Below are 26,319 nucleotides of genomic sequence, written 5' to 3' on the forward strand. Positions count from 1 at the left end.
CATCCATCAAGGAAGACCTCTGATCGCTAAGAGCAGATGCTGAGATCCGCCCCACTCTTTAAGCAAGAACAGCAGACTGCCCCTGTCCTTCGGTAGGCTAAGGCTCTGTCTTACCCGCTGGGGTGACTCACTAAAGCTGTCTCTATTCACCCAGAGGTCCAGGCCCCAGAATAGAGCCCAGGAATCCTGCCAGCAATTCTGGACTCCAGCCCTCCCCATGCGACATTCATTCATCCATGTGCCAGGCACTGTGCTAGGTGCTGGGCAATGGCAACAACCAAGACAGCCCAGAGAGCAAAGGCTATCCCTAAAATAGGGTTCTAAAGATGCTGCTGGAGGTGGCAGGCAGGCACCACCCTCGAAAGACCCTTGCCCCAACCCCTTGGGCTTGGGAGACCTGCGCAACTCACACCATCCAAAGAAGCTTCCCTGGACACCTGCTTTTTCAGCCATAGGATCTTGCATCCTGTCTGGAGACCGATCAAGAGATGGGGAGAGGGGGTGGGGAGGGAAACACCAGGCTGCCTGGGCCCTCATGGCCGTGTTTATCCGGGGTGGATTTTTTTTAACCCAAAGGTTAAAGTGTTTCTATTTGAAACATCTATTTACATTCCAGAGTCCAAAAAAAAAACAAAAAAAAAACAAAAAAAAAACAAGGCTGCCGAGCTCCAGGCCTATATCTGTCCCTAGCCGCGTCACAGACACAGCATCAGAGCTGCGCAGGGGGAACATTCTTAGCCCTCTCCCCGAGCCGCTGAGGTGACTCACGCCTCCCTCCTGCCAGCATGGACCAAGCCACCACTCTGAAGGCCAGCCAGCGTTGGGGGTGGAGTGGGGAGACAGGGATCTGGACAGAGGGGCTGCCTGGGAGTCCATGCAGGGGCAGCCAGGCTTAGGGAGGAGATGAGAGAGCAGGGTCCCAGCCTGCAAGGTTTCTGGGGTACAATCTGGAAGCAGGTGAATGAACAAGCTGAGGAGGAAACTTCCGGCCAACTGCTGGCTGCTGCTGGTAGCAAGGAACAGAGGCGACAGGGCAGGATGGGTGGACCTGATAAGCCAGATGGCGTGGAGCTGTCCCAAGCAGATGCTCTGGGATTATTCTGCCTTCCAAGAGACCACCTTGAGTCCCAGAGGCTGTGGGCTAGGGGCCAGCAGGCAGGGTCTTTAGCTGGACCTGTGGACTCCAGACCAGGATAAGAACCAGCCCTCTGGGTTTATTCCTCATCCCAGGGACCTGTGTAGGGGGCCCCCAGGCATACGCCCCTACCTCAGGGGACTACGTGGGTATCTTGTAGAGCCGGTTCCCAAGGTTACACCCCCATCCCCACCCCAGCCTACAGGGCTGGCCCCAGGGTAATGCCCCTATCCTCGGGGCCTGCATGGATACCCTGCAGGGCTAGTCTTCAGGGTCATGCTCCTACATGAGAAAACTGCATGGGCATCCCTGCCTGGGCAGATGATAAGCCATGTTCCAAAGATTTTTTGAATCTTCCCAAAACATTCATGCTCTGACACATCCAAGTCCCACTGCAACCTTATCCCTGGGCAGCTCAGAGCCAAATCACAGGCACCTGCAGAGGCACACAGTTCCCACTTTCCAATTTGAAGCTTGGGATGCACACCCACATATCCAGAGGCAAGGACTCCCCATTCACACGCACACACACAGACACCCACACTTGAGTGCCAAGCCACTGCCAGGAGGGGCTGAGCAGGCATGGGTCCAGCAGGCCCCTCCCTGGAGGAAGCATCTTGTGGTGCCGGCCTGGTGGGGAGGCTGTGCCAGGAAGGCTTGATGCTGCCAACAGGTTCCTGGGAGTGAGGGAAGGAGCGGCCCAGCTCTGGGGGACCCCACCCCTAGCCAAGAGCCAAAAAAGTTCCTGCTGAGAAGGTGGCAGGATTAGGGGGTCCCGAAGCCCATCTGAGCCAGAGTAACACCTCTTCATCCTCATGAGATGGGAATCAACCCAGACCTGGGGAGAGGAGCGCCATCGGGAGACAGCTAGGGGCTAAGGCAGCCAAGCCCCTCAATATCCAAGCTGCCAGCCTCTGCCTAACTCCATCATGACTGCACCAAGCCTCCCCAAGTGTCTGATTCTCAAGAGACTCCTGGCTGGGGACTTGCGGAAGTCACTGTACTCGATCCTGTAGCCCCAAGAACCAAGCCAGAGGAGCTGGAGTAACCTTTATTCTTGTGGACACCCAGCTACACCTTCTTCCCTTGCCCAAACTTGGGGAGCGGGCAGCATGGAGGCGGGTCACTGACCCACTTCCTCCCCTCTGACCACAGTGCCAACTAGGCCAGGATCCTCCAGTAACCCCCAGCCCCCAGCAGTGGATGCCGACCCTGCCAGAGACTGAAGGGACTGGAAGAGATGCAGCAGAGTACAGCGGAGGGGCACCGGGGAGCAGCAGGCTCTGGGCAGGGAGGGCAGGGGCCTCTCTGAGCAGGGATCCCCCAGCCCTGTGTATTCTCAACAAAACTCTCAAGACAGATCTATGCAGGACCCTATCTGTGCAAGGCTCAGGGCCAGATGCTCAGCCCAGGGACAAGGATGCCAGATGACAGAGGGCAGGCAGGGACATCAAGGCACTTACCTGTCACAGGGATGCTGTGCAGAGAAGTCCGCGGCAGGATTTCCAAGGATGGTTCCCGACCTGACATCCCATCTGCTGAGAAACAGGATTCTGTCTCATAGATGGTCTGCAGCATCTCCACGAGCCCCTGAGCCTTGGGCACCAGCAGCATGCCAGGGAGGGGGCCGCCAGAGGCGGGGAGCAGACCGAAGGGAAGGTGGTCGGGCAGCCCGCACAGCACAGGTTCCCTCAGGCCACTGCCGACGGGACCCACACTGTAGGGAAGTGCCTCATCCGGCCTGGGCACTCCTGGCGGCAGGAGGGGCAGGGAGGCCCTAGAGCTGCAGGCCCAGCTCTGCTCTAGAGGGGCATCCGACCACCAGCCTCTCCCTGGTTCCTGGGAGCTGGGGTATGGCTGAGCACTTGGGACAGGAAGGGGAGCTCAGCGGGCAGGCGGGCTCTGTGTTCCCTCCCAACCCTGGGTGACAGCTCTGGGCCCGGCTCCCTGCTCCTCCTTCCCGAATGAGCCGCCGCCGGCAGCTGGCAGGAGACTGAAATAGCAGTTGGGGGAGGGCCCTGTCTATAAATAGGTGGAGCATGCTCAGGGAGCTGCGGGCGGGCTGCCAGGAGGCCCCATGGGGGGGGAGGCGGTTCTACCCCAGGAGGAAGCGCCAGGCGAGGGGGATGGGAACAGGGGAGGGCCTGCACTCAGGGCCAAGGCCACAGCGCTGGGTGGCCAGAGGCTGGGCTGGGGAAGGGCGCCGGCCAGGGTACCCATGCATCTGGGAGCGGCTCTGGCTGCTACTCTTGGCAAGCAAGCCAGGGGATGGAGACCAAGAAGCCAGACTCAAGCCTCCGTCTTTCTTCTTGCCTTCCAGAACAGGTAAAGGAATTGGAAGGGTCTAGGAGAGGCTGGCACACAGGCACCTTCCCTGGAGTTCTAATAGCCCCATGGAGGTTTGCTTAACTTCTGCCCTCCCACAGAGTTGAGAGGTGCCTCCCCACCCCTTCAACCAGCAGAGAGACCCCTAAACACCTGCTAAATGGCAGCTCCCTCCCGCTCATTCTGGAGTGTCGCCTCCAGAGGCTGCTCAGCCTCAGCTTCTTTCTAGGGTGTAGGGATACTCCTCCTGGGCAGACAGGTGTCCCCTGGTCCCCTTTCCTCACCCCAATCCAGGAAAAGGGACCAGGGAACATCTGCTAATTCTCAGAGCACAGGTAGCTCCTCCATGGCAATGTGCCAGGTGCAGTGCTACGAACATCATATACATCATCTCATTAATTCTGCGTGGTGACCTTGGGAGAGGCACAGATGGGAAAACTGAGGCACAGGGAGATGAAGTCACTCACCCTAGGTCATAAAGCTGCTTACATGGCAGGGCTGGGATGTCTGAGGCTCAAGTCTGAGCTCTAACCACCACACTCCACTGCCTCCCATTTCCCAGGGTTTCTATTAACAGGTACAATGACCCCTGTGCTCAAGTAGGAAGAGACTTGAGGTTGGAACCTCGCTAAGGAGAGTCAAGAGTTTTTCAGCATCCAGCCATTACCCACCAGCCAGCCTCAGGCCTGGCAGCACAGCCCCTGCTCCCTGGGTCCTGGGGCTGGTGCACCATGAGGACCAGTGGCACTCCCCCGCCCTCCCCACCGCTGGCCTGCCCCTGCTCCTCAGGTTGTGCCTCCCACTGGTACAAAGATCCCACTTGGCCCCCTGACCTCACTAGAGCCTTTTAATAGCCTGGTTATTCCTGTGTCTATATCCCCCTCCCCCTTCCTGATGTCACAGTTGCTATTTTGGAGCCCCCTCCTTGACCCCCACTCCAGGCATGGAGCCAGGGACACCTGTCCTCTCTCTGGACTGGATGACCTCACCCTCTTGTTGGGAGCCCAGGAGAAGCTGGCCAACCAAGGACACAGTGGCTGTGGCTCCTGGAGCCCAATTTCCCAGCCAGCTTCTGCCAGTCAGGGATGGCAAAGGGGTCTCCTGCCCTCAGGCTGGGAGTGGGAGGATTAGGGGGACCACACCTATAGGCAGAGGCAGGCTTTCCCAGGCCCTTGACTAGCAAGATGTATATGTTGCCAGGGGGTACCCAGTGGTGGACCAGCAAAGAAACAGGGGTCTGGAGCTGCAGCTTCTAAACCAGGGCAGATTCTAGAAAAAGGGCAGTGGAACAGTACTCCCTCAGAGGCCTAGTGCTGGTGGACATTCAGGGTATGGCTGGGGATCTTGTTCACCACCCCTTGCCCCAACCTCATCCTGGCCAACCAGGCCCTCTCAAGAGGAAGGGAAGGGAAGGTCTCCATCAGTGGGGTGATGGGCAGCAGATTCAAGGGAGCCCAGAAAGCCAAGAGCAGCAACCCCTCCCAGCCCAGGACTCCTCCCACCCACGCTAGGAGTAACCAGAAGGGCTGGCTAGCCCTGTCCCAGCTCTCTCTGCCTGCCCCAGGCATAGGAGAGTGTGGCAGGAGAGCCTTATTCTAAAGAAGAGGAAGGCGTCAGTTACCAGGACTCAAAAGCAGGGCCCCCAGAACCTGGAGCACCCAGACATTGAAGGAAACAGGACTTCCTGCTTAGGGAAGATAGTAGCACCCAGGACAGGGACACCCAGAGGTGGCTGGAGCCGGGAGCTGGGGAGCCAGCTCCCAGCACCATTACAGCCTCCAACAAGTAGGAAGCAAAGTATCAGACACAGTCAGAAAATCCTCAGTGCAATTCCCAGAACCCTCCAAGGCAATAAGAGAGGAGATCTGGGATGGGGACAAATGTCTTTTTTTCTTCTGAGATTCAGGTGATACAAGGTCCTCCTAATGTCTAACTTCAATCCTTCATGCTTTAGCCCCCCTCCTTGCAATTCACTTCTCTTTTCCGTTCTCTCCCAACCAGCACACCCATGTATCATCCCACAAACCTTATGGAGCACCCACCAAGCATGGGGTACATGAGCTTCACCCAGAGCCAGGACTGTCTTCCCCAGACTCACTCTGCCCCTCCCTCAAAGGCTGCACTCTGACCTCCTAGCCCTCTGAATCTGAAGGAGGAAAAGAGCCTAACCCTGGCTCCAGGTTCCATTTCCTGAGCCCAAAGGCTGTGGGGATGGGGGGACCTTGACCAAAGGGAAGAAAGCAAGGTCTGCTTAGTGTGCAGTGAAAAAGCCAATGGCTGGCCCAGGAGCACCCTGGATGAAGTGTGAGATGCCAGCTTCCCTGAGACCCAGATATCAGACCTGCCCACCCTCCTGTTCTTTCCTGCCCTTCGAGCCCAGTCATGCTGGAGCCCATCAGCATGGCCTGGGAGCTGCCATGTGCCAGCCAGGCCCCATGCTAGGTGTTGGCTGAACCCTCTCATTTGAAGCCAAGTCCAGGAAAAATGTGAACACCTACTTTGGCATCTTCTACTTCCCCTCAGGGTTGACCCTGCCTTCTCTGGCCATTCCATTCTAAGCCTTCAATCTCTTTGGAATGATAGAGCAGGGAAGAGGAGGGGAGAAGCAGGTCCCGCTCTGCAGTGAGCACAGAGGTGTGCCAGGGGGCATCTCAGTAGAGAAGGGAGGCCAGGAGTCTACTTCTCAGACCCCAGCCCCATGCCAGGATTGACCCACTTTCTCACTGCCTGCCTTCCCTGGGGGCTCTGAAGGAGGCAGAGCCCAAGGCTGGAAGGCAGGACACCGAGGTTCCTGGCTCCACCCCACACCCATGCCCCAGTTTCTCTGGTCACCCAGAGAGCAGGCGTGGGGGGGGGGGGCTGCTGCCCTCCATCCTGGAAAAGGGAAAGAGAGAAAGTGTGAAGGTTCTGGGAGGCGCTGGGCAGGCAGGTGTTGTCATGAAGCTTGTCTCCCTCCCACACTGGGGAGAAGGATCCTGGCCGCCTCCTCCATGGCCCCGCTGCCACCCAGACTGGCTTGCACAGTGGGCCTCACTCTTGCCTGCTCTTCTGGGCAATGGCACAAAGAGGGTACAACCAGAGCTGGCCTGGGTCCCAGGCCCCTGGGCAGCTCCTCCAACCTGGTTGGGCCGAGTCTGAGCTGAGGGAAAGTTCTGTCAGCCTTTCAGCCCCACTGAGGAGAACATGCAGAAGCAAACAGTTCCAGAAAAATAAAGACAGCCTTAATCCTCAAACCCCCTTTTGCCGGAAGAAAAGGCAGAGATCAGGGAATGGTCTCAGGGAAGCAGGCAACCCCATCAATAGCCTCCGCCTGTGATTCCAAGACTGCAAAAGAGGTAAATAAAGTCAAAGGCTGGTAGGCAGCCCGAGCCAGAGGGAAGTCATCAGCTCCCACCTTCCTGGGCAGTGGGCCCCAGAAGGAAATCACTCACAGTCTCCACCTGCTGCCCCTCACCAAAACAGTCTCTCTTGCTAACATGTTCACTGTGAGGACCAGGGATGGCCCATCTCATATTTTCTTCTGTCTTCCACAGGCTGAGCCTGTTGGTGATACTCAGTGAGGACTTGCCAAACTGAAAAGCTCCTACGCTGAGAGGACTTGAGGGGAACCAGAAGCTCTGCCCCTTACAAAGCCTACTGTCCTTTACTCTGGGGAAAGAGGAGCAAGTGTTCAGGGAAGTGAGGAAAAGGTGGGAGGCGCTCAGGGGCTGCAGCAGACCCTGGGGACTAACCATTTCCTTCCTTCCCACCTCTTATCTCCTGCCCCATGGCCCATACCTTTCCTTCTTGGGGCTCTCTACAGGGAAGTGGACACCCGCGTGCTCTGGCTTCAATCGGTGGTCTCACTTTACTTCCGCCGAGTTCCAAGGCATGTGGTTTCCAGGCTTCTGCCAGGCGCTGGGCACCCCAGCCCTAGCCCAGATGCCAGCCCAAGCTCTGGGAATAGCAGACGCTAGGCCCCTCAGAAAGGAAGAGCTGGGGGGAGGCTGACTATCTCCCTGGCCCAGGGCAGCTGGAACCCCACAACTGGGAAAGCCAGTCCAGAACCCCAGGAACACTCTGCAGGAAGGGCCTCAAGCAAACATCCCCAAGCAGTGGCCCCAGTTCCAAAGCCTCTCAACAATCCTAAAATGAGGTTCCCAATCCCTGGCCCCCTCCTTTTTTCCTTCTTTCCCCAACACAGAGAAGACAGCATCTCCCCCTGCTGGGGGGAGCTGGAAAGCCAGGCAGGACGCGGGGCCCATTCCACAGGCCCACTCAGGACGCCCCTCCTGGCCAGGGCTCAGCAGTGGCTCTCAAGCTGCCAGCCTCCTGCGTTGGTGGACACGTCCAGCTCCTCCAACACTCTTGTCAGCTCCCACAGAGGTAGCTGCAAGGGAAACTTGGACCGCCAGCATCTGGAAAGGTAACCCAATAACTTCATCTATCCTGGGTTGATTATCACATTTCCCTGCAAGGGAAAGAAACCCCAAAGCTGGGAAAAATCCTTTCCAAGCCACCAACAGATGCCGCTAGGCAGCTTCAATTCCCTTGGCCAAGAGTTAGACCCCAGCCCCATGGGAAGCAGGGACTGCAGATGGCTCCTGGACAGGTCAGCGTCACAACTCAGAGGAAAGAAGTAGCTGGCACTACTGCCCGACATGGCTGAGCTTGCTGGGGTAGTGTCCAGCCAAGATGCACGAGGGACAGATGAGGACCCAGGCCTCTCCTTTCCCTTCGCCATCCAGCCTCAGAGGGGCAAGCAAGAGGGCAGAGCTGGGCAGCCCACCTGTCCCAGCCCCTAGGGGCTGAATGAGGGCAAGGGCAGAGGGAGGAATATCTGAAGGAGAACAGCAAACCCTACAGAAAGGATGATGGGGAAGAAAATGTGGGGTGGTCTGGATTCCTCCCTGATGCTGCTTCTGTACAATCCTGCAAATGGGTATTCATCCTAGGCCCCAATTGCCCTATCTCTAAAAGGAGAAATATCCACCTACCCCTACATAAAAAAGATGAGGAGTACGATGGGCCGTGGAGAGCTAAAGTTGAGCAAGATGGACCTTTAACACTGTGTGGAAGGAGACACCCGAGGAGGAGGAGACGACAGCCACTACTCTGACCACACTGCCCCAGGACCCTCCTGGGAAACTGCTGAGGGTCCAGCTCAGGCCACTAGAACACAGCCTCACAGGCATACATCCAGACCCAGCTGCACATCAAGCTGCCTAGAGTCCCCCAAATAGACTATTTCTGGCAGCACTGGACAGGGTCCTAGGAACAAAGAGGAACAGGAAATCTCAGAGTAAAAGACCCCAGATTAGCAATCTACCATATGAAGGGCCCAAGAGGAAGAGAGGCAGTCTACCTGGACTCAGAGGAGAGCCGAGACTCCTCTACACACGTCACCCCACTCCCACCCAATGCCACGCACCTGCACACGGAGGTTAAGGCCCAGTGCCCTTGTAAACCTCCACTAAGAAAAAAGTATGGAACACAAACATTCCACTAAGTAAAGAAGCCACCATCACGAAAAGGAAGCTGAGCATTCTGCTATAGTAAAGAAATTCCTCCAACATCATCCCAGACTGCCCAGAGAGATTAAGGGATACACACTGCCCCCTCAGGCCCACCTGTCTTGGCTAGCAGGGGAAGGCGAAGCTGGAGCTGAACACCCCTAAGTTGAGAGGGCAAGCATGGGGGGCAGAGTAGGACCCATTGCCTTCCCAGGACCAGACCGGACCATCGATCCCTCGATTCCCAGGTCTACCTCATGGGCCCTTTCTTGCAACACTTCTCCACTCCTTACCCCCTCATTCCCTTATAGCTCAGACAGTAAAGGTCAGCTGGCCTGGAAGGGAAACCCACACAGCCCATTGCATCCGAAGCTACCCCAGGGTGCTCTTCTCCAACCTCCCAGCTCTTACCCGACTCGTTGGGAGAGTTCATGCCGGCTCTGGGCCTGCAGGAAGCTGGCGTTGGGGGCTGGGACGGGAGGGGGTGGAGCTGCGGTGATGTCAAGAGAGACAGACGATAACAGACAGACGGACGGGACGGGAGCCCGGGGCCGCCGTGCCTCTAATGCCCATCCGAGGCCATCCTTCGGGGCGAGGCAGTCAGGCACTCAGAACGGCATCCCTGGGGAGAGATGGAGCAGGGTTAGAGGCCCCTAACTCAGGAATCTGAGAGTCGAAGGAGACCTTGGAGCTCATCAGTTTGTACCTGGGGATGAGGGATGAGAGGGAGGGATACCTGCCCACAGCCACAGGAGAAATCTGCAGAACTGGATAGACCCTGGTTTCTTATCTTACTAACTGATGAGGCTCCCAGAGCCCAAGGGATAGGAAATGGCTATGGTGGCCAAACCCAACAGACCCCTTTTCAGGTGAGTGTCTACTGCCAGCTGGGGAGACCCTATAGACTCCCAACAGTGCCTGCCATGGGACTAGGTGTGCACCAAAGGAGAAAGTGCAGGGGGGCTTCTGATCTGTATCCATAGCAGTGGGGAGATGCAGGGCTGATCTAGAGTCCCTGGCAGAAGTGAAGGGAGAAACTGGTATCCCAGCCTCCATAGCCTAAGCTGGGACTTCTAGGGGTCTTCTCCCGACTTTCTGATCCTTGTGCCACCCAGCTCTGGAAATATGGATGTGCTTCTGTTTTGGTCTCCCACAGTTCAACAACAGACCAGGACAAGAGCTTCTCTTTCCAGGAATTGAGAAAGTCAGAGACCTCTCCATCCCAAATCTAGTACCCTTGGCCTGGCAGGTGCAGGGCCCAAGCCCAGCACTTTGTGTATATTGTACAGGTTGTGCTCTGTGTAAGGAGGTCTGGCCCAGGGAGATACGAAATCCAGCCTGTGCCCTGCCTGCCAAGCCATGGCCTGACATGCTGAGTCCACCCAAAACAAGGGACGATTTTTTCCCAGTTTGTACGAAAGCAACAAAAGGCCCAGCAGTAGCCCTGCTGAGGCCAGTATAGTAAAGGAGGAGGTATTACAGGACCACGGCTTTGCCAACCCATGCCCACTCCTCCAGTTCTCCCCCACAGTTAGTCCTCAAGCCTCAGACACTATGCATACAGACACCTGGCCCATCCCTAAACGGCCCACGATCCACCCCAGACATGATCTCATTCATTTGCTTCCAAATGAAGGCAGGCCCTCCAATACCCAATGAAAGCAAGGTAGCAGGAAGCCATCAGAGGAGGCTGTGAGCTGCTGCGAGTTTAAGCCCTAACTCTGCTCCCCAAGCCTCGAACCAGCAATCAGCTCTGCCCCCCTAGACAGCCCCACCTCCTGGCAGGATTAATTCTCAGTAAGCCTTACATTCTCATCAGATTCCCAAGGGTGGGGTCCATTTGGAGCCCAGAAGCCCAGAAGCCAGCTATGGCAGAAACACAAGAACATGAACACACATGCGCATGCACGCACACATGCACACACGAGACCCTGAGGTCCCAGGCTTGCTGCTGGGACCACAGGGCTTGGACTCTATGGCTGGAGAAAGGTGCACTCAGATTGGGGGGCAGAGTTGAAGGGGCTAAATTGCTCCTGACGGGCACAGGTATGGGATTAAGACAAAAAAGGCTGCGCAGGCAGGGCTGAGGCCAAGCTCAGGAATGTGGCAGGTAGGGCTGCTGGTGCTCTGGCAGGGCCCACGTGGGCAGGCAGTTCAGCCTGTGCCCACACCAAGGCTGGCACCCAGTCCTGCTCACACCCTTTCCCGTGGGCTGGGGAACACAGGTTCAGAAATGCCCACGATTCCCAGCAGCCTGAGTAGCCCAGTCCATCTCCACAGTGAGAGGCACCTCCACAGCAAGGTGCTCAGAAGGGGCACAGCCCCAGTGGCACAGAAACCAGGTTAAGGTTAGCCCCTAGCCCCCATCATCCTAACCCACCTACTCTCTCTGTGGGTCTTAAAGATGCTGATCCTCACCCCTGAGGCAGAAGAGGAAGGGAGCAGCTCCTTGAACTCATGGTGGGCTCGGGACTCATCTACGTCTACTCCTCCCCGTCCTATAAAATTCAGCAGGATCCCTGGGCCCCTGGGCCCTGTCCACCTGTAAAGAGTGTCTGCCAACACCCCCATCAAGTCTCCCAAGTGAACCAGAGCCACAGGCTGAGCCTCCCTGAGAAACAAAGCAGTGTTCATGGTCTGATCGGGACAAGCACAGATTCCTGTCTGGGGTGGGACATGAAGGGGAGAAGGGGAGCCTGATGTTTAAAACCTGAGCTGTTTGTTCCCACATCTGCCAGAGAAATCTGTTGGGTCTCAGTGGGAAGTCAGGGACACCAGGAGCTGTGTCCCAGATGACCTAACACTTGGATGCCAAACCAGGGAGTGGCCCAACTTCCAGGACATCATAAGCAGACAGACCCCTGCCCACCCCACTACCTCACACCAACTCTTTCTTCCAGACAGACCCCTACCCCACTCCGGGATCCAAAACCACCTCCCACATCCAGCCAAGACAGCCGGACAAGGATGAAGGAAACAGGCTACATCTCACCCTACAAGCTCAGGGCTGAGCCTATGGAAGTAGGGTGGAAACCCCAAACTCTGGCAAAGGGTGGGTGGAGGAGGGCAGACAAGTGAGGGGCACATGGTACAAAGCAATGCTCCAAAGGCCATAGGTTCACAATGTTACCCTGTAGAGATCTTGTTCCTCAAACAACTCCCTCAAAATTCCTGGGGAGTCAGGTGTCCCTTGAAGACCCTCTCTGGATCCTGGAGTCCAGTACCACCATGCAACCCCCTCCCAACACACCTGCTCTGGCCCCAGGCCAGGGTACCCCCTAGGTCATAGGTGACAGGGTCAAGCAGTGTGAATCAAGTCTTGGGAGTCTGAGATTGTTTCACTCTACCCCGACAGTTTCATCAAAAATTACAAACCGGCCAGGCGCGGCGGCTCACGCCTGTAATCCCAGGACTTTGCGAGGCCAAGGCAGGCGGATCACCTGAGGTCAGGAGTTCCAGACCAGCCTGATCAACATGGAGAAACCCTTTCTCTACTAAAAAAATACAAAATTGGCCAGGTGTGGTGGCGCATGCCTGTAATCACAGCTACTCGGGAGGCTGAGGCAGGAGAATCACTCGAACCCTGGAGACAGAGGTGCGGTGAGCCAAGATTGTGTCATCGCACTCCCGCCTGGGCAATAAGAGTGAATCTCCATCTCAAAAAAAAAAAAAAAGTTACAAGCCAAGACATCCCACCCAAAGGTCAAAGGCACTAGGAATTTATCTTGACCCCTCCTGACCATGGCCACAGCCTACCACTTTCCTCAGCCTCTGAGAGCTTCTGTTGCCTAGTGCCTCCCCCAAGCTAGGCCAACAGAAGCCCAGAAGGATCAGAGCCATGAAGGGTGGCTGACTTGGATGTCCAGGCCCCAAACCAGGGAAAGGGGGAGGGTGACAGGGAAGGAAAAAAGGCACCAGGCTGACAAATTCATTTTTGCAATCGGCCCATTTCTGTTTGTCTGCTCAGACGCAGCTCCAGGCATCTGCACAAGCCAGATGGAGGAGGCTGCTATTTCTAGAAAAAAAAAAAAAAAAAAAAAGAGAGGGGGGTGGTGAGAGGGGAGGAAGGGAGGAGGCGGAGGCAGAGGGCAGAAGACGGGGTCTGTTTGCCCTAAAACCTCAGGCAGAATGATACCCTCTTCCCAGCACTACCAGGCAGGGTCCCCATTCAAGAAAGGGCTGCGGCTGGGCCTGGGGTGAGGTGGGATAGGGAAGAAGAAAGGCAGAGAAAGTTTAATTAGCTAAAGTCGGCTACAATAGGCCCCCTCACGGGCTACATCAGGTTTTCATTCATGAGCAAGCTACAGTGCTCCAAAAATGCCAAGAACCACCCCCCCTTGCTGTCTCCCCCTTCCCCCCCCTACTGCCACCAACAGGAGTGCGTCCTCTAGCAGGCTGGCTGAGCCTAATGCTGTGTTCCAGACATCCCTCCTCAAAGGGATGTGAGTAGGAAGAATTAATTATTAAAGAGCAGCTGGTACTTCAGCACCGACTGCACTACCCCCAGCTCCTATAGCTGATGCCCCCTCCCCCACTATGCGGGAACACAAATGACCCCCGCCCAACATTCCCAGGCCCCATTTCTAAACACACAATTAAGATGCCACCCCTACGGAAGGCAAAGCAAACCTTTGTCTCTGCAGCTACTTGGGGTGGGTGGGGCATGTGAAACTGCTGCCCCCCTCCAAATTACATGATCCAGCCAAAGTAGGAGGATATATTGGAAAAGAAGGGGAGGCTGGCACAGAACTAACATTTCCTCCATCCTTGCCCCCAAGTAACCCACACTTGAGATCTGTCTCTCTGGTCTCTGGCATGCCCACATTCCCAGGACAGAGTGGAGATACTGGGGGCCCATTTCTCTAACTCAGAGAGACCCCTACTGCTTTGTCAAGAAAGCCCAGATCCAAGTTCAAGTGAAGAGAGGGCAAAGAGAGGAGTCAAGAAAAGAGGAAGGAGACAAACCAAGATCTCCCCAAGCTTTGTGTTTAGGGAGGGAGAGGAAGGAGGGAAGACTGGAATGAAGAAGCAGGCAGCCCCCAACATGGCTCATCCACCATCCAGCCCAGCCAGCCTAGCCCAGCCCAGCCCAGCCCAGCATCTCAACAGCCAGCATAGGCTCAGGGTGCCTAGGACTGGGGAGACTGAAGACCATGCCTGCCTGCCTACATCCTCTGAAACTAAGAGGAAGCCAAAGGCAGGACCCAGACCCAGACTGCAATCCTGCAAGGCAATCTGGCTAGGGGTCCCTCTGACCAAGACTCCTGGATCTCACCCTCCCCCCCACCTCCTTTTGTTCCCATAATCTGGCTCCATCCTCCCCTCCCAGTTGGACACTGAAACCAATCACCACCACCTCCCCAAGCTCCAAATCTAATCCCAGATCCCAAAAGCATGGTGGTCACTGACTGAGTGATGGGTCCCTTTTGCACCCTCCTAAAAGCAACTGCAGCTGTTACCTTTCCTCTTTAGGGACACACCTCATTTCAGAAGGGGTATCAGCCAGGGGTATCAAGTGGTCATCTCCTCTCCCAAAGGAAGCACCCAACCTCCCCACTTCAACAGCCCCCACCAAGCTCCCAGATTAATTACTTACACCCAGCCAGTTCTCATCTTCCCCAGGGCCCCAGGGAAGGGTGGGGTGGAGAAGCTGACTCCCCCCAAGTTAATAAGGCACTGGTAGTGCCCCCGCTTCCATGAGATACAGATCCAGGATGAAAAATGGGGGGCATCCACCCAAGACAAGAAGGGGTTGGGGGGGAGCTCCATTTCATCTCCTAGCTCTCGCATCCTGGCTCCAAGGTGTCAGACAGGAGAAGAGGGTGGCAACAAACGCAGTAACGCCTCACAGGAGACGGGGTGAGAATAATGGGAGAGAGAAGTAAGGTGGACTCCGCAGTCCCCCTCCTCATGCACGGAAGTCAAGGACATAAAATCAAGGATGCGTTCGTAGCTATGGGGAGAAGCGCTCTGGGTGGACAGCACCCCTCACCTCAGAGTACCAAGAAAGGGGTGTCCAGCGAAGAGGGGTCTGCACAGAATCCGGGTGCAGGGCTCAAATGGCTCTGCAACGCAACATGCGCCGCCAGGGAAGGGGCAAATCAGACAACCCCGGCCGGTCTCCGAGCCATTTGGGGGCGCAGGGCGCGAGAAGGCGGGCCCCTCCCTTACCTGTAGGGAAGGCGCCCCTGTCTGGGAGGGGCAGGGAGGGGCGCGCGCAGCAACCCCGATGTCCCGCTCACGGGCTGCCGATGCTCCCGGGGGGCGCCGGCTGGCTCCCAGGGCCGGGAGGAAGGAAGGGGGGCGCGGAGCGCGGCGCGCGCGCTGGGAGCCCGCGGACAGAGACAGCAGGAGGAGGGGGCGCCGCCTCGCGTCCCGGGGTCCGGGGAAGATGGGATCTGGGCCGGGGCGGCGCGCTCACCCGCTGCGGCTCGAGCTCCGGCTTCGCGGGCGGCGGCGGCAGCAGCGGCGGCGGCAGCGGCGGCAGCACCTCCTCGACGGCTCCTCCATCTTTGCGGCGGCTCCTCCGGCTCCGCTCGCCGCCGCCACCAACAACAACATTCGGAGACGTCACTCCCGTCACGTGACCCGACCCGGAGCTAAAAATAGACCCAGACCCCCCCCCCAGCCCCCCCCGCCTTCCCCTTGCCCGCAGCCACCACCAACCCCTCCCCTGCCTCTCGGCCCTCCCCGCCGGGCGGGGCCAGCGACGCCATCGTGACAGCTCCTTAAAGGGCCAGTGCCCAGCACAGGGTTCGGCCGAGACGGGGTGGAAGGGAAGGGATCGGAACCCAGCGAGCAGGAGTGGAAGGATCGCTGCAGGGGCCGAGTATGGATGCTGGGGCTCAACCTTTGGATTGTAAAAGTTTCCTCCTTGCGCTCCCCGGACTTTCTTTTCAAAACGTGGATGGTGCAATCGTCGCTTGCCTAAGCTGCTCCCCTAACACGCCCTCCCGCGGTCGGGGAGGGGACCTGGGGATAGATTCCCAGGGGCTGGGAGGGCCACCGCAGCCTCTGCAGCGGGGCCTGGCTGCGGGTGGATGGTTCGGACAAGTCTCGAACTCGCCAGCTCTGACCGCACACACTGCATCCGTGCCAGGGAAAGAAAAGCCTGGGAAAGGCCAGGGTATGGCTGTAACACTCCAAGGCCTTCAAAAGGGCAGACCAGCAGACCAGGAGCCGGAAAGACTTCCCTGACTTTGGTGCCATCCACGCTACATCTCCTCTTGGTACACAGTATGAACATGTTTAATTAGACCTAGACAATTTGTCAATGACCCAGCAATTCCACTAACAAAAATGTATTCCAAATAAATAAACGTTGTTATGTTAAAAAATGAACATGAGATTGTTTGTAATGATGTGAAAAGTTGAAAACAACCTAAATATCCATCGATAGGGAATTGGCAAGCAAAGCAGGAGACATTCATTCAGTAAAATATTATCCAGACATTAAAAGTTTTATAGGGGACCGGGCATGGTGGCTCACGCCTGTAATCCCCGCACTTTGGGAGGCGGAGGCAGGCGGATAACCTGAGGTCAAGAGTTTGAGACCAGCCTGGCCATTATGGTAAAACCCCGTCTCTACTAAAAATACAAAAAAATTAGCCGGGCGTGGTGGCAGGCGCCTGTAATCCCACCTACTCAGGAGGCTGAGGCAGTAGAATCCCTTGAACCTGAGAGGCGGAGGTTGCAGTGAGCCAAGATCGTGCCATTGCACTCCAGCCTGGGCAACAAGAGTGAAACTCTGCCTCAAAAAAAAAAGTTTTAAAGGGGCCAGGTGCATTGGCTCTTGCCTGTCATCAATCCTAGCACTTTGGAGGCCGAGGCGGGAGGATTGCTTGAGCCCAGTTCAAGACCAGCCTGGGTAACATGGCGAGACACTGTCTGTATTTTAAAAAAGAGGCCGGGCGTGGGCCGGGCATGGTGGCTCACGCCCGTAATCCCAGCACTTTGGGAGGTCGAGGCTGGTGGATCACGAGGTCAGGATGTCGAGACCACCCTGGCTAACACAGTGAAACCCGTCTCTACTAAAAATACAAAAAATTAGCCGGGCGTGGTGGTGGGCGCCTGTAGTCCCAGCTACTTGGGAGGCTGAGGCAGGAGAATGGAGTGAACCCGGGAGGCGGAGGTTGCAGTGAGCAGAGATCGCGCCACTGCACTCCAGCTTGGGGAACAAAGCGAGACTCCGTCTCAAAAAAACAAAAAACAAAAACAAAAGAAGAAGAAGAGGCCAGGCGCGGTGGCTCACGCCTGTAATCCCAGCACTTTGGGAGGGCGAGGCGGGCTGATCACAAGGTCAGGAGATCGAGACCATCCAGGCTAACACGGCGAAACCCTCTCTACTAAAAATACAAAAAAAAATTAGCCGGGTGTAGTGGCGGGCGCCTGTAGTCCCAGCTACTCGGGAGGCTGAGGCAGGAGAATGGCGTGAACCCTGGAGGCAGAGGTTGCAGTGAGCCGAGATCACGCCACTGCACTCCAGCCTGGGCAACAGTGTGAGACTCCGTCTCAAAAAAAATAAAAAAATAGCCGGGCGCAGTGGCTCATGCCTGTAATCCCAGCACTTTGGGAGGCCGAGGCGGGCGGATCACGAGGTCTGGAGTTCGAGACGAGCCTGACCAAAATGGTGAAACCCCGTCTTTACTAAAAATTCAAAAATTAGGCGGGCGTGGTGGTGCACTTCTGTAATCCCAGCTTCTCAGGAGGCTGAGACGAAACAATCACTTGAAACCGAGAGGCGGAGGTTGCAGCGAGCCGAGATCGGGCTATTGCACTCCAGCCTGGGCGGGTGACAGAGCGAGATTCCGTCTCAAAAAAAAAAATAAAAATAGGCTGGGCGCGGTGGCTCACGCCTGTAATCCCAGCACTTTGGGAGGTCGAGGTGGGCGGATCACAAGGTCAGGAGATCGAGACCATCCTGGCTAACATGGTGAAACCCCGTCTCTACTAAAAATACAAAAAAAATTAGCCGGGCGTGGTGGCGGACCCCTGTAGTCCCAGCTACTCGGGAGGCTGAGGCAGGAGAATGGCGTGAACCTGGGAGGCAGAGGTTGCAGTGAGCTGCGATAGCACCACTGCACTCCAGCCTGGGCGACAGAGCCAGACTCCGTCTCAAAAAATAAATAAATAAATAAAAAATAAAAAAGAAGAAAAAAAATTTTATAGGTCTATACCGACCTGAAAAGATGCCCGTGATATATTGTTTTCTTGAAAATCAGGACTCAAACAAGTATTACTGAATTGTTCCATTATTATAAAAACAACAAACTAGATTCATATGCCTGAGTATATGTGTATATCAAAAAGCCTGGCCAAGGGCCAGACCTGTGCTCACGCTGGGGGGCTGAGGTGAGAGGATAGCTTGAGCCGGAGAGGTGAGCTAACTAAGAACACACCACTGCACCCAGCCTGGGTGACAAAGTGAGATCCTGTCTCAAAAAAAAAAAAAGCCTAACCAGACATGGTGGAATGGTGGCACACACCTGTAGTCCTACCTACTTGGGAGGCTGAAAAGGGAGGATTCATTGACCTCAGGAGTTCAAGCCCAGCCTGGGCTACATATGGAGACCCCATCTCTAAAAAAAAAAAAAAAAAGGAGGACTGGGCGCGGTGGCTCATGCCTGTAATCCCAACACTTTGGGAGGCCGAGGCGGGCGGATCACAAGGTCAGGAGATCGAGACCACCCTGGCTAATAGGGTGAAACCCCATCTGTACTAAAAATACAAAAAATTAGCTGGGCGTGGTGGCACATGCCTTGTAGTCCCAGCTACTCGGGAGGCTGAGGCAGGAGAATCGCTTGAACCCAGGAGGTGGAGGTTGCAGTGAGCTGAGATCACACCACTGCACTCCAGCCTGGTGACAGAGAGAGACTCAGTCTAAAAAAAAAAAAAAAGAAAACTGAAACAAAAAAAGCCTAGAAGAATAAATACCAGAATGTTTGTCTTTACTTTGTCTTACTTATTTATTTATTTTGAGACAGAGTCATTGTATCTCCCAGGCTACAGTGCAGTGGCACAGTCATAGCTCACTATAACCTTGAACTCCTGGGCTCAAGTGATCCTCCCAACTCAGCCTACCAAGTAGCTAGCACTACAGGTGCGTGCCACTACATCCAGCTAATTTTTTTTTTTTTTTTGCAGGGTCTCGCCATGTCACCAAGGCTGGAGTGCAGTGGCGCCATCACAGCTCACTGCAGCCTCGATTTCCCAGGCTCCAGCGATCGTCCTGCCTCAGCCTCCAAGTAGCTGGGACCATAGGTGCATGTCACCACACTCAGCTAATTTTTGTATTTTTTGTAGAGATGGGGTTTCCCTGTGTTGCCCAGGCTAGTCTTTTTTTTTTTTTTTTTTTTTTTTGAGACGCAGTCTCATTCTGTCACACAGGCTGGAGTGCAGTGGCATGACCGCGGCTCACTGCAACTTCTGCCTCCAGGGTTCAAGCGATTCTCCTGCCTCAGCCTCCAGAGTAGCTGGGATTACAGGTGCAGGCCAACACGCCCGGCTAATTTCTGTATTTTCAGTAGAGACAGGGTTTCACCATGTTGCTCAGTTTGGTCTCAAACTCCTGACCTCGTGATCCACCTGCCTCAGCCTCCCAAAGTGCTGGGATTACAGGCATGAGCCACTGTGCTCGGCCGCTAAGGCTAGTCTTTTTTTTTTTTTTTTTTTTTTTTTTTGAGACAGAGTTGCTCTGTCGCTTAGGCTGGAGTGCAGTGGTGTAATCGCAGCTCACTGCAAGCTCCACCTCCCGGGTTCATGCCATTCTCCTGCCTCAGTCTCCCGAGTAGCTGGGACTACAGGCGCCCGCCCCCACACCCGGCTAATTTTTTTTGTATTTTTAGTAGAGACGGGGTTTCACCATCTTAGCCAGGATGGTCTTGATCTCCTGACCCCATGATCTGCCCACCTCAGCCTCCCAAAGTGCTGGGATTACAGGCGTGAGCCACCGCACCCAGCCTTTTTTTTTTTTTTTTTGTCTCGCTCTATTCCCCAGGCTGGAGTGCAGTGGTGCGATCTCGGCTCATTGCAACCTCTGCCTCCCGGGTTCAAGCAATTCTCCTGCCTCAGCCTCCCGAGTAGCTGGGACTACAGGAGCGTGCCACCACACCCAGCTAATTTTTGTATTTCTTTGGTAGAGACGGGGTTTCACCATGTTGGCCAGGATGGTCTCGATCTCTTGACCTCATGATCCACCCGCCTCGGCCTCCCAAAGTGCTGGGATTACAGGCATGAGCCACTGTGCCCGGCCTAGGCTAGTCTTATACTCCTGGGCTCAAGTGATCCGCCCATCTCAGCCTCTCAAAATGCTGGGATTACAGGAGTGAGCCACCACTCCTGGCCACTTCAGGGGATTTTACTGCAGCTGGTCCTTTCCTCATATTTGGGGGAAAAAAAAAAAAAGAAACACCCAAAGTTTCTACGTAATCTGATCCCTGCCCATGTCATCTCTCTTTGCTTAGCTTTCTGTACTCCCGCCATGTGACTTTCTCTCAAACAATGTGCTCTCTGCTCTTCAGGGCCTTTGCACAGGCCGTTTTTATCTTTCTAGAATGCCTCCCTCCCTTCTTCTCTTTGCCTGGCTAACTCCTGCTCATTCATCAGAGCTCTTTTTTTTTTTTTTTTTTCTTTTTTGAGCCAGGGTTTTGCTCTTGTTGCCCAGGATGGAGTACAATGCCGTGATCGCGGCTCACCTCCGTCTCCCGGGTTTAGCAATTCTCCTGCCTCAGCCTCCCAAGTAGCTAGGATTACAGGCATCTGCCACCATGCCCGGCTAATTTTGTGTTTTTAGTAGAGATGAGGTTTTTCCATGTTGGTCAGGCTGGTCTCAAACTCCCAACCTCAGGTTATCCGCCTGCCTCAGCCTCCCAAAGTGCTGATATTACAGGCATGAGCCACCGCACCCGGCCATTAGAGCTCATTTAAATATCACTGAAAGAGGTCTTTCTTGGTCCTTTCATTAGAATAGATCCCCTTGTTATATATGCTTTCATCAACCCTGCTAATAATGTGTAAATATATATCTATTTATGGCATTATGGTTCATTGTCCATCTTGTCCTCTAAATTACAAACTTCTTTATTATTATTATTATTTTTTTTTTGAGACAGTCTTGCTCTGTCACCCAGGCTGGAGTGCAGTGGCGCAATCTCGGCTCACTGCAACCTCTACATACCAGGTTTAAGTGATCCTTGTGCCTCCACCACCAGAATAGCTGGGATTACAGGCATGTACCACCACGCCCAGCTAATTTTTGTATTTTTAGTAAAGACTGGGTTTCACCATGTTGGCCAGGCTGGTCTTGAACTCCTGACTTCAGGTGATCCACCCACCTCAGCTTCCCAAAGTGCTGGGATTACAGGCGTGAGCCACCGCGCCTGGCCGGCATCACCTATTTGTTATTGCACTTGCACAGTCTTTCGCCATCTTCTGGCAGTTAGGATGAGTTGGGTTGGGAGTTTGCTTTCACAAGGCTTGTGCTTTGTCTCCCCAAACGGATTATGAGCCACTTGAGAAAAGAGATAAAATCATATGTCTTTTTGCCTTTCTAGCACCTAGCATATCACCTTGCACATAGTAGGTGCTCACTAAAAGTTTGGGGACACTGGAAGATTCCAGAATCTTCTCTCTTGGGATCTCAGAACATGGGAAAAGAATCTCCCCCTGTAATATGACAAATGATGGTCAATAACTGCCTCGTGGAGCACATTGGCTTGGCACTTCCCATTTTACAGATGAGGAAGCGGAGGCTCAGGGAAGCTTAATAATTGCTTGCCCAAAGTCTGGATCACCTGAGGTCAGGAGTTAGAGACCAGCCTGGCCAACATGGCAAAACCCCATCTCTACTAAAAAAAAAAAAAAAAAAATTAGCCGGGCATGGTGGCACACACCTGTAGTCCCAGCTATTTGAGGAGGCTGAGGCAGGAGAATTGCTTGAACCTGGAAGGCAGAGGTTGCAGTGAGCTGAGATCACACCACTGCATCCAGCCTGGGCAACAGACGGAGACTCTGTCTAAAAATAATAAATAAATAAATAAATAAATAAATAAATAAATAATTGTCCAAAGTTACAGAGTTTCTACAAGCAAGAACTGGGGTTCAAACCCAGGTTTCAGTGGCTGGGCGCGGTGGCTCACACCTGTAATCCCAGCACTTTGGGAGGCCGAGGCAGGCAGATCACGAGGTCAGGAGATGGAGACCATCCTGGCTAACATGGTGAAACCCCGTCTCTACTAAAAATACAAAAAAAATAGCCGGGCGTGGTGGCAGGCGCCTGTAGTCCTAGCTACTCGGGAGGCTGAGGTAGGAGAATGGCATGAACCCGGGAGGCAGAGCTTTCAGTGAGCCGAGATCACGCCACTGCTCTCCAGCTTGGGCGACAGAGCGAGACTCATCTCACAAAAAAAAAAAAAAAAAGCCCAGGTTTCTGTGTTCCCTAACACAAGGAACAGGGGCTGATGAAGCTGGACTCCCAACCCCAGAGCTTTAGCCTTCTTCTCTGGAGGTCTCTGAGATTATCGTGTCCATATCCCAGTGGCCGAATGTCCCAGAAGTTACAAAAATGTACCATATGGGGCCCTGATAAGTCTTCAGATTTCGTCTTCTCAGGTAAGTGGGGGCTAAATAATTCAGCATGCATTTGTCATGTTTCTGGAGTACCTGTGAGAGATGCTGAGGATATAGAGATGATTCTGCCTTTAGGGAGTCTCAAGTTCCTTACAGAAAACATAATTGTCTTTTGTTGTGAGTTCCTAGGGTAGACAGATATCCTTGCCAGGACCATTCACCATGGAAACAGGGGTCACGAGACTGTCTCCTTCACCACCACCTCAGTTTCTCAATGTAGAGTGAGCCTGCAGATGGGATCTAGAAGCTGGCTGGAGAGCTTCTGACCCTGGGAACCAGTGGTGAATTTGGCCTCTTGGTAGAAGGAAATAAATCTCAGAGAAAAGCCAGATATTTAACCGATAGCCTGAGAGATGGCAGCATGATTGGACTTTGGAAGGCAGCAAGGAGAGGAATGAATGTGTTCAGCAATGCTGCTAGGCCATCCGGGAGTTGCCAGTCCTATCTGGAATCATGAAAAAAGTCGTAGGCCAAGTGCAGTGGCTCACACCTGTAATCCCAGCACTTTGGGAGTCCAAGGGAGGTGATCACTAGAGGCCAGGAGTTTGAGACCAGCCTGGCCAACATGGTGAAACCTCGTCTCTACTAAAAAATACAAAAATTGGCTGAGCATGGTGGCTCACACCTGTAATCCCAGCACTTTGGGAGGCCGAGGCAGGCTGATCACCTGAGGTCAGGAGTTCGAGACCAGCCTGTCCAACGTGGTGAAACCCCATCTCTAATAAAATTACAAAAATTGGCTGGGCATGGCAGTGCACACCTGTAATCCCAGCCACTCGGGAGGCTGAGGCAGGAGAATCGCTTGAACCCAGGAGGCAGAGGTTGCTGTGAGTAGAGATCGCGCCATTCCATTCCAGCCTAGGTGACAAGAGCGAAACTCTGTCAAAAAAAAAACAAAACAACAACAACAACAACAACAAAACACACACACACAAAAAAAAAACCCAAAAATTATGCCGGGCGCAGTGGCTCACGCCTGTAATCCTAGCACTGTGGGAGGCCGAGGTGGGTGGATTACTTGAGGTCAGGAGTTCAAGACGAGCCTGGCCAACAGGGTGAAACCCCATCTCTACTAAAAATATAAAAATTAGCTGGATGTGGGGCCGGGTGCGGTGGCTCACGCCTGTGGTCCCAGCACTTTGGGAGGCCAAGGTAGGCTGATCACGAGGTCAGGAGATCGAGACCATCCTGGCTAATATGGTGAAACATCGTCTCTAAAAAAAAATAATAATAATAATTAGCTGGGTGTGGTGATGGGCACCTGTAACCCCAGCTACTTGGGAGGCTGAGGCAGGAGAATCGCTTGAACCCGGGAGGCAGAGGTTGCAGTGAGCCAAGATCACACCACTGCACTCCGGCCTGGGCAACAGAGTGAGACTCAGTCTCAAAAAAATAGATAAATAAATAAATAAAATACAAAAATTAGCTGGGAGTGATGGTTCAGGCCTGTGGTCTCAGCTACTCGGGAATCTGAGGTGGGAGGATTGCTTGAGCCCAAGAGGTGGAGGTTGCAGTGGGCCAAGATCAGGACACTGCACTCCAACTTTGGCAACAGAGTGAGACCTTGTCTCAATAAAAAAAGAAAGAAAGAAAAGTTATGAGGCCAGCACAATGCTAGGTACTGTGGGGAAGGCAAAAAATAAAAACAAACAAAAACAACAGGACAGGAGGTAACAAAATCTGGGTCTTAGGGATAGAGACAACTCTGGGCTGGAGTGCTGTTGGATGAGTCATTTGCCCATAGGGCCTTGGTCTTATCTGGAAAATAGGACTTGAACTTCTGTTCTCTGAGGTCCCTTTCAGTTCTGACACTTCATGAGTCCTAAATTAGATATGATGGCAGATATGACAATGTCCAGCATGGAACTGGGTGGCAAAGTTTAAGCTGGACCTTCATTCCTCCAAGATAGTCAAGGTCCAGTCCTGCCCTTGGGCTGTTTACAATGAGCTCTGAAGACAGAAGAGAGTTAATTTCCTGACAAATAAGCCATGTGCCCTAGGCACAAAGTAAAGGCAATGTCATTGAGGATGACTTATGCAGAGTGCAATGAAAACTGAAAACTGCCCCTAGGATGCCTGGGTTTGGCCCAGGTCTCCCTGTGTGACCCTGGGCAAGTCCCTTCTCTCTGGGCCCATGTTTCTTTTTCTTTTTCTTTTCTTTCTTTTTTTTTTTTTTGAGATGGAGTCTCGCTCTTGTTGTCCAGGCTGGAGTGCAATGGTGTGACCTCAGCTCACTGCAACCTCTGCCTCCTGGGTTTAAGCAATTCTCCTGCCTCAGCCTCCCGAGTAGCTGGGATTACAGGCACCTGCCACCACACCTGGCTAAGTTTTTGTATTTTTAGTAGAGATGGGGTTTCACCATGTCAGCCAGGTTGATCTTGAACTCCTGACATCAGGTGATCCACCCACCTCAGCCTCCCAAAGTGCTGGGATTATAGGCATGAGCCACCACGCCTGGCTTCTGGGCCCCTGTTTCTTTATGATTAGAGGGTTGGACTGAATTTCCTTCCTTCCAGCTGGAGACTTTTCTGGGTGGTGCAACAAGGTGAAGTTGAGAAGGAAGGGTGGAACAACAACTTCTTCTCCTTTCCCTCCTTCCCCTGACTCCTCTGGGCTTGAGGGAGAAGAAACCAGTTTCAGGCCAGCATCCACTGTGCAGTCTTGCCTGACTGTTTGAGATGTTTAGGGGGAGAGCAACAGGCAGGGACCTTGGCTAAGTCACCACCTATCTGAGCCTCAGTTTCCCTGTCTGTAAAAGGGCATGGTTGGATAGATGACATCTGAGGATTTTTCCAGCTCTGGCAGCTAACTCTAGAATTGGATCTCAAAACAAACAAACAAACAAACAAACAAACAAACAAAGGAGGACCTGGCTAGAGGCGAGAGCCTCAGTCATTCCTCACCTGAGAGCCCTACCTAACCCTTGACACCTTCTGTCCCTTTTCAGGCCTCCCACCTCCTGCCTTCCTGGCCTAGAGATCAGGAGCAGGCCACTGTCTCTACACTCAGCAATGGCCAACCCTGAGGAAAGCCAGCAGAAACATGGCTCCTAGAACAAGCTGTGAATTTGTTTAAAAATAAAGACTATTCTGGGTGCAGCTGCCACCGTTTGTCATGGCGCCTAAAGAAATAAATGATTTTTTATATATGTAGAGAGAGCAGAGCAAAGCTGTCAGTCTGCTGGTCTGTAGATCCCATATCCACCAAGAGCTGCCATCAGTAGCCAGCCACTGCTAGAGGACAGCAGATGACCAGGAGGCCTGGCACACAGTTGGGACTCCAGGACAGGCTTCTCAGCCCAGCTCCCTCCAGGTTCCTAGAGTGTCCCACAAGCCTTCTTACCCCTCCCAGCAGCAAAAATAGCAGAAGTCCAAGGAGATGGCTGAGAAGGAAGCCTATCCTCTCCCCTACCTCCCTGCTGGGATGTGGAGCTGAGGCCCAGGATTTCCTGGACTCTACAGAGTTCCTGCCTGCCTGCTCAAGAGTCAAGGCCACATGGCCACAACAGTGCAAGTGGCAGTGGTGGTCGATCATGTCCCACATGTCTGCAGGTCATTCCAGAGTGTCCTCTCTGGGCAGGGCGTGCCCAGAGAATGTCGGGAGGGGATAGTGGGAGCCCATGTACCTGCCCTCGGGGAGCTTTCCATCCTGTGGAAGCAACATGGCCACATGAAGCAGGGTGGAGCAGAGTAGGAGAGAGGGGGCCTGGAAATTTAGGCAAATCACTTGCCCTCTCTGAGC

At 54.1% G+C, this 26,319-nt stretch overlaps 1 protein-coding gene and 1 long non-coding RNA gene across 14 annotated transcripts in view, besides 6 other annotated features; one reads left to right on the forward strand and one right to left on the reverse strand.

Annotated features, from left to right (window-relative positions):
- The window catches only part of HDAC5 (histone deacetylase 5), a 46,889-nt gene extending 31,378 nt beyond the window's left edge, over window positions 1-15,511 (reverse strand). For 4 of the 13 annotated variants that reach the window (XM_047435054.1, XM_047435052.1, XM_047435050.1 and 1 more), the window contains exons 1-3: window positions 15,374-15,511; window positions 9,364-9,574; window positions 2,599-2,670 (exon numbers count right to left, since the gene is read on the reverse strand). In XM_047435054.1, coding sequence (XP_047291010.1) covers window positions 2,599-2,670; window positions 9,364-9,385 — 94 coding nt within the window. In that variant the 5' untranslated portion in view covers window positions 9,386-9,574; window positions 15,374-15,511. Of the gene's footprint in view, window positions 1-2,598; window positions 2,674-2,851; window positions 3,136-9,363; window positions 9,575-15,123 lie in introns of those variants that run through there. The other 9 variants (XM_011524149.3, XM_047435048.1, NM_001015053.2 and 6 more) reach the window with 4 other exon arrangements.
- Window positions 3,884-4,384: an enhancer, noted in NCBI's record as "H3K4me1 hESC enhancer chr17:42189382-42189882 (GRCh37/hg19 assembly coordinates)". NCBI's record gives its function as "activates a minimal SCP1, AML or CMV promoter by ChIP-STARR-seq in primed H9 embryonic stem cells {active_cell/tissue: H9 hESC(primed)}" and the evidence as "EXISTENCE:reporter gene assay evidence [ECO:0000049][PMID:30033119]".
- On the forward strand, window positions 7,782-12,465 carry LOC105371789 (uncharacterized). Its single transcript, NR_136415.1, has 3 exons — window positions 7,782-7,865; window positions 11,857-11,973; window positions 12,308-12,465. It is a non-coding gene; the product is annotated as an uncharacterized LOC105371789 (long non-coding RNA).
- Window positions 15,203-15,342: a silencer, noted in NCBI's record as "silent region_8573". NCBI's record gives its function as "represses an Ori minimal core promoter by ATAC-STARR-seq in GM12878 lymphoblastoid cells {active_cell/tissue: GM12878}" and the evidence as "EXISTENCE:reporter gene assay evidence [ECO:0000049][PMID:35858748]".
- Window positions 15,393-15,492: a silencer, noted in NCBI's record as "silent region_8574". NCBI's record gives its function as "represses an Ori minimal core promoter by ATAC-STARR-seq in GM12878 lymphoblastoid cells {active_cell/tissue: GM12878}" and the evidence as "EXISTENCE:reporter gene assay evidence [ECO:0000049][PMID:35858748]".
- Window positions 15,563-15,622: a silencer, noted in NCBI's record as "silent region_8575". NCBI's record gives its function as "represses an Ori minimal core promoter by ATAC-STARR-seq in GM12878 lymphoblastoid cells {active_cell/tissue: GM12878}" and the evidence as "EXISTENCE:reporter gene assay evidence [ECO:0000049][PMID:35858748]".
- Window positions 15,713-15,872: an enhancer, noted in NCBI's record as "active region_12252". NCBI's record gives its function as "activates an Ori minimal core promoter by ATAC-STARR-seq in GM12878 lymphoblastoid cells {active_cell/tissue: GM12878}" and the evidence as "EXISTENCE:reporter gene assay evidence [ECO:0000049][PMID:35858748]".
- Window positions 17,019-17,518: an enhancer, noted in NCBI's record as "H3K4me1 hESC enhancer chr17:42202517-42203016 (GRCh37/hg19 assembly coordinates)". NCBI's record gives its function as "activates a minimal SCP1, AML or CMV promoter by ChIP-STARR-seq in naive H9 embryonic stem cells {active_cell/tissue: H9 hESC(naive)}" and the evidence as "EXISTENCE:reporter gene assay evidence [ECO:0000049][PMID:30033119]".

This window comes from Homo sapiens, chromosome 17 (assembly GCF_000001405.40).
Source record: "Homo sapiens chromosome 17, GRCh38.p14 Primary Assembly".
In the NCBI taxonomy this organism is placed as follows: domain Eukaryota; kingdom Metazoa; phylum Chordata; class Mammalia; order Primates; family Hominidae; genus Homo; species Homo sapiens.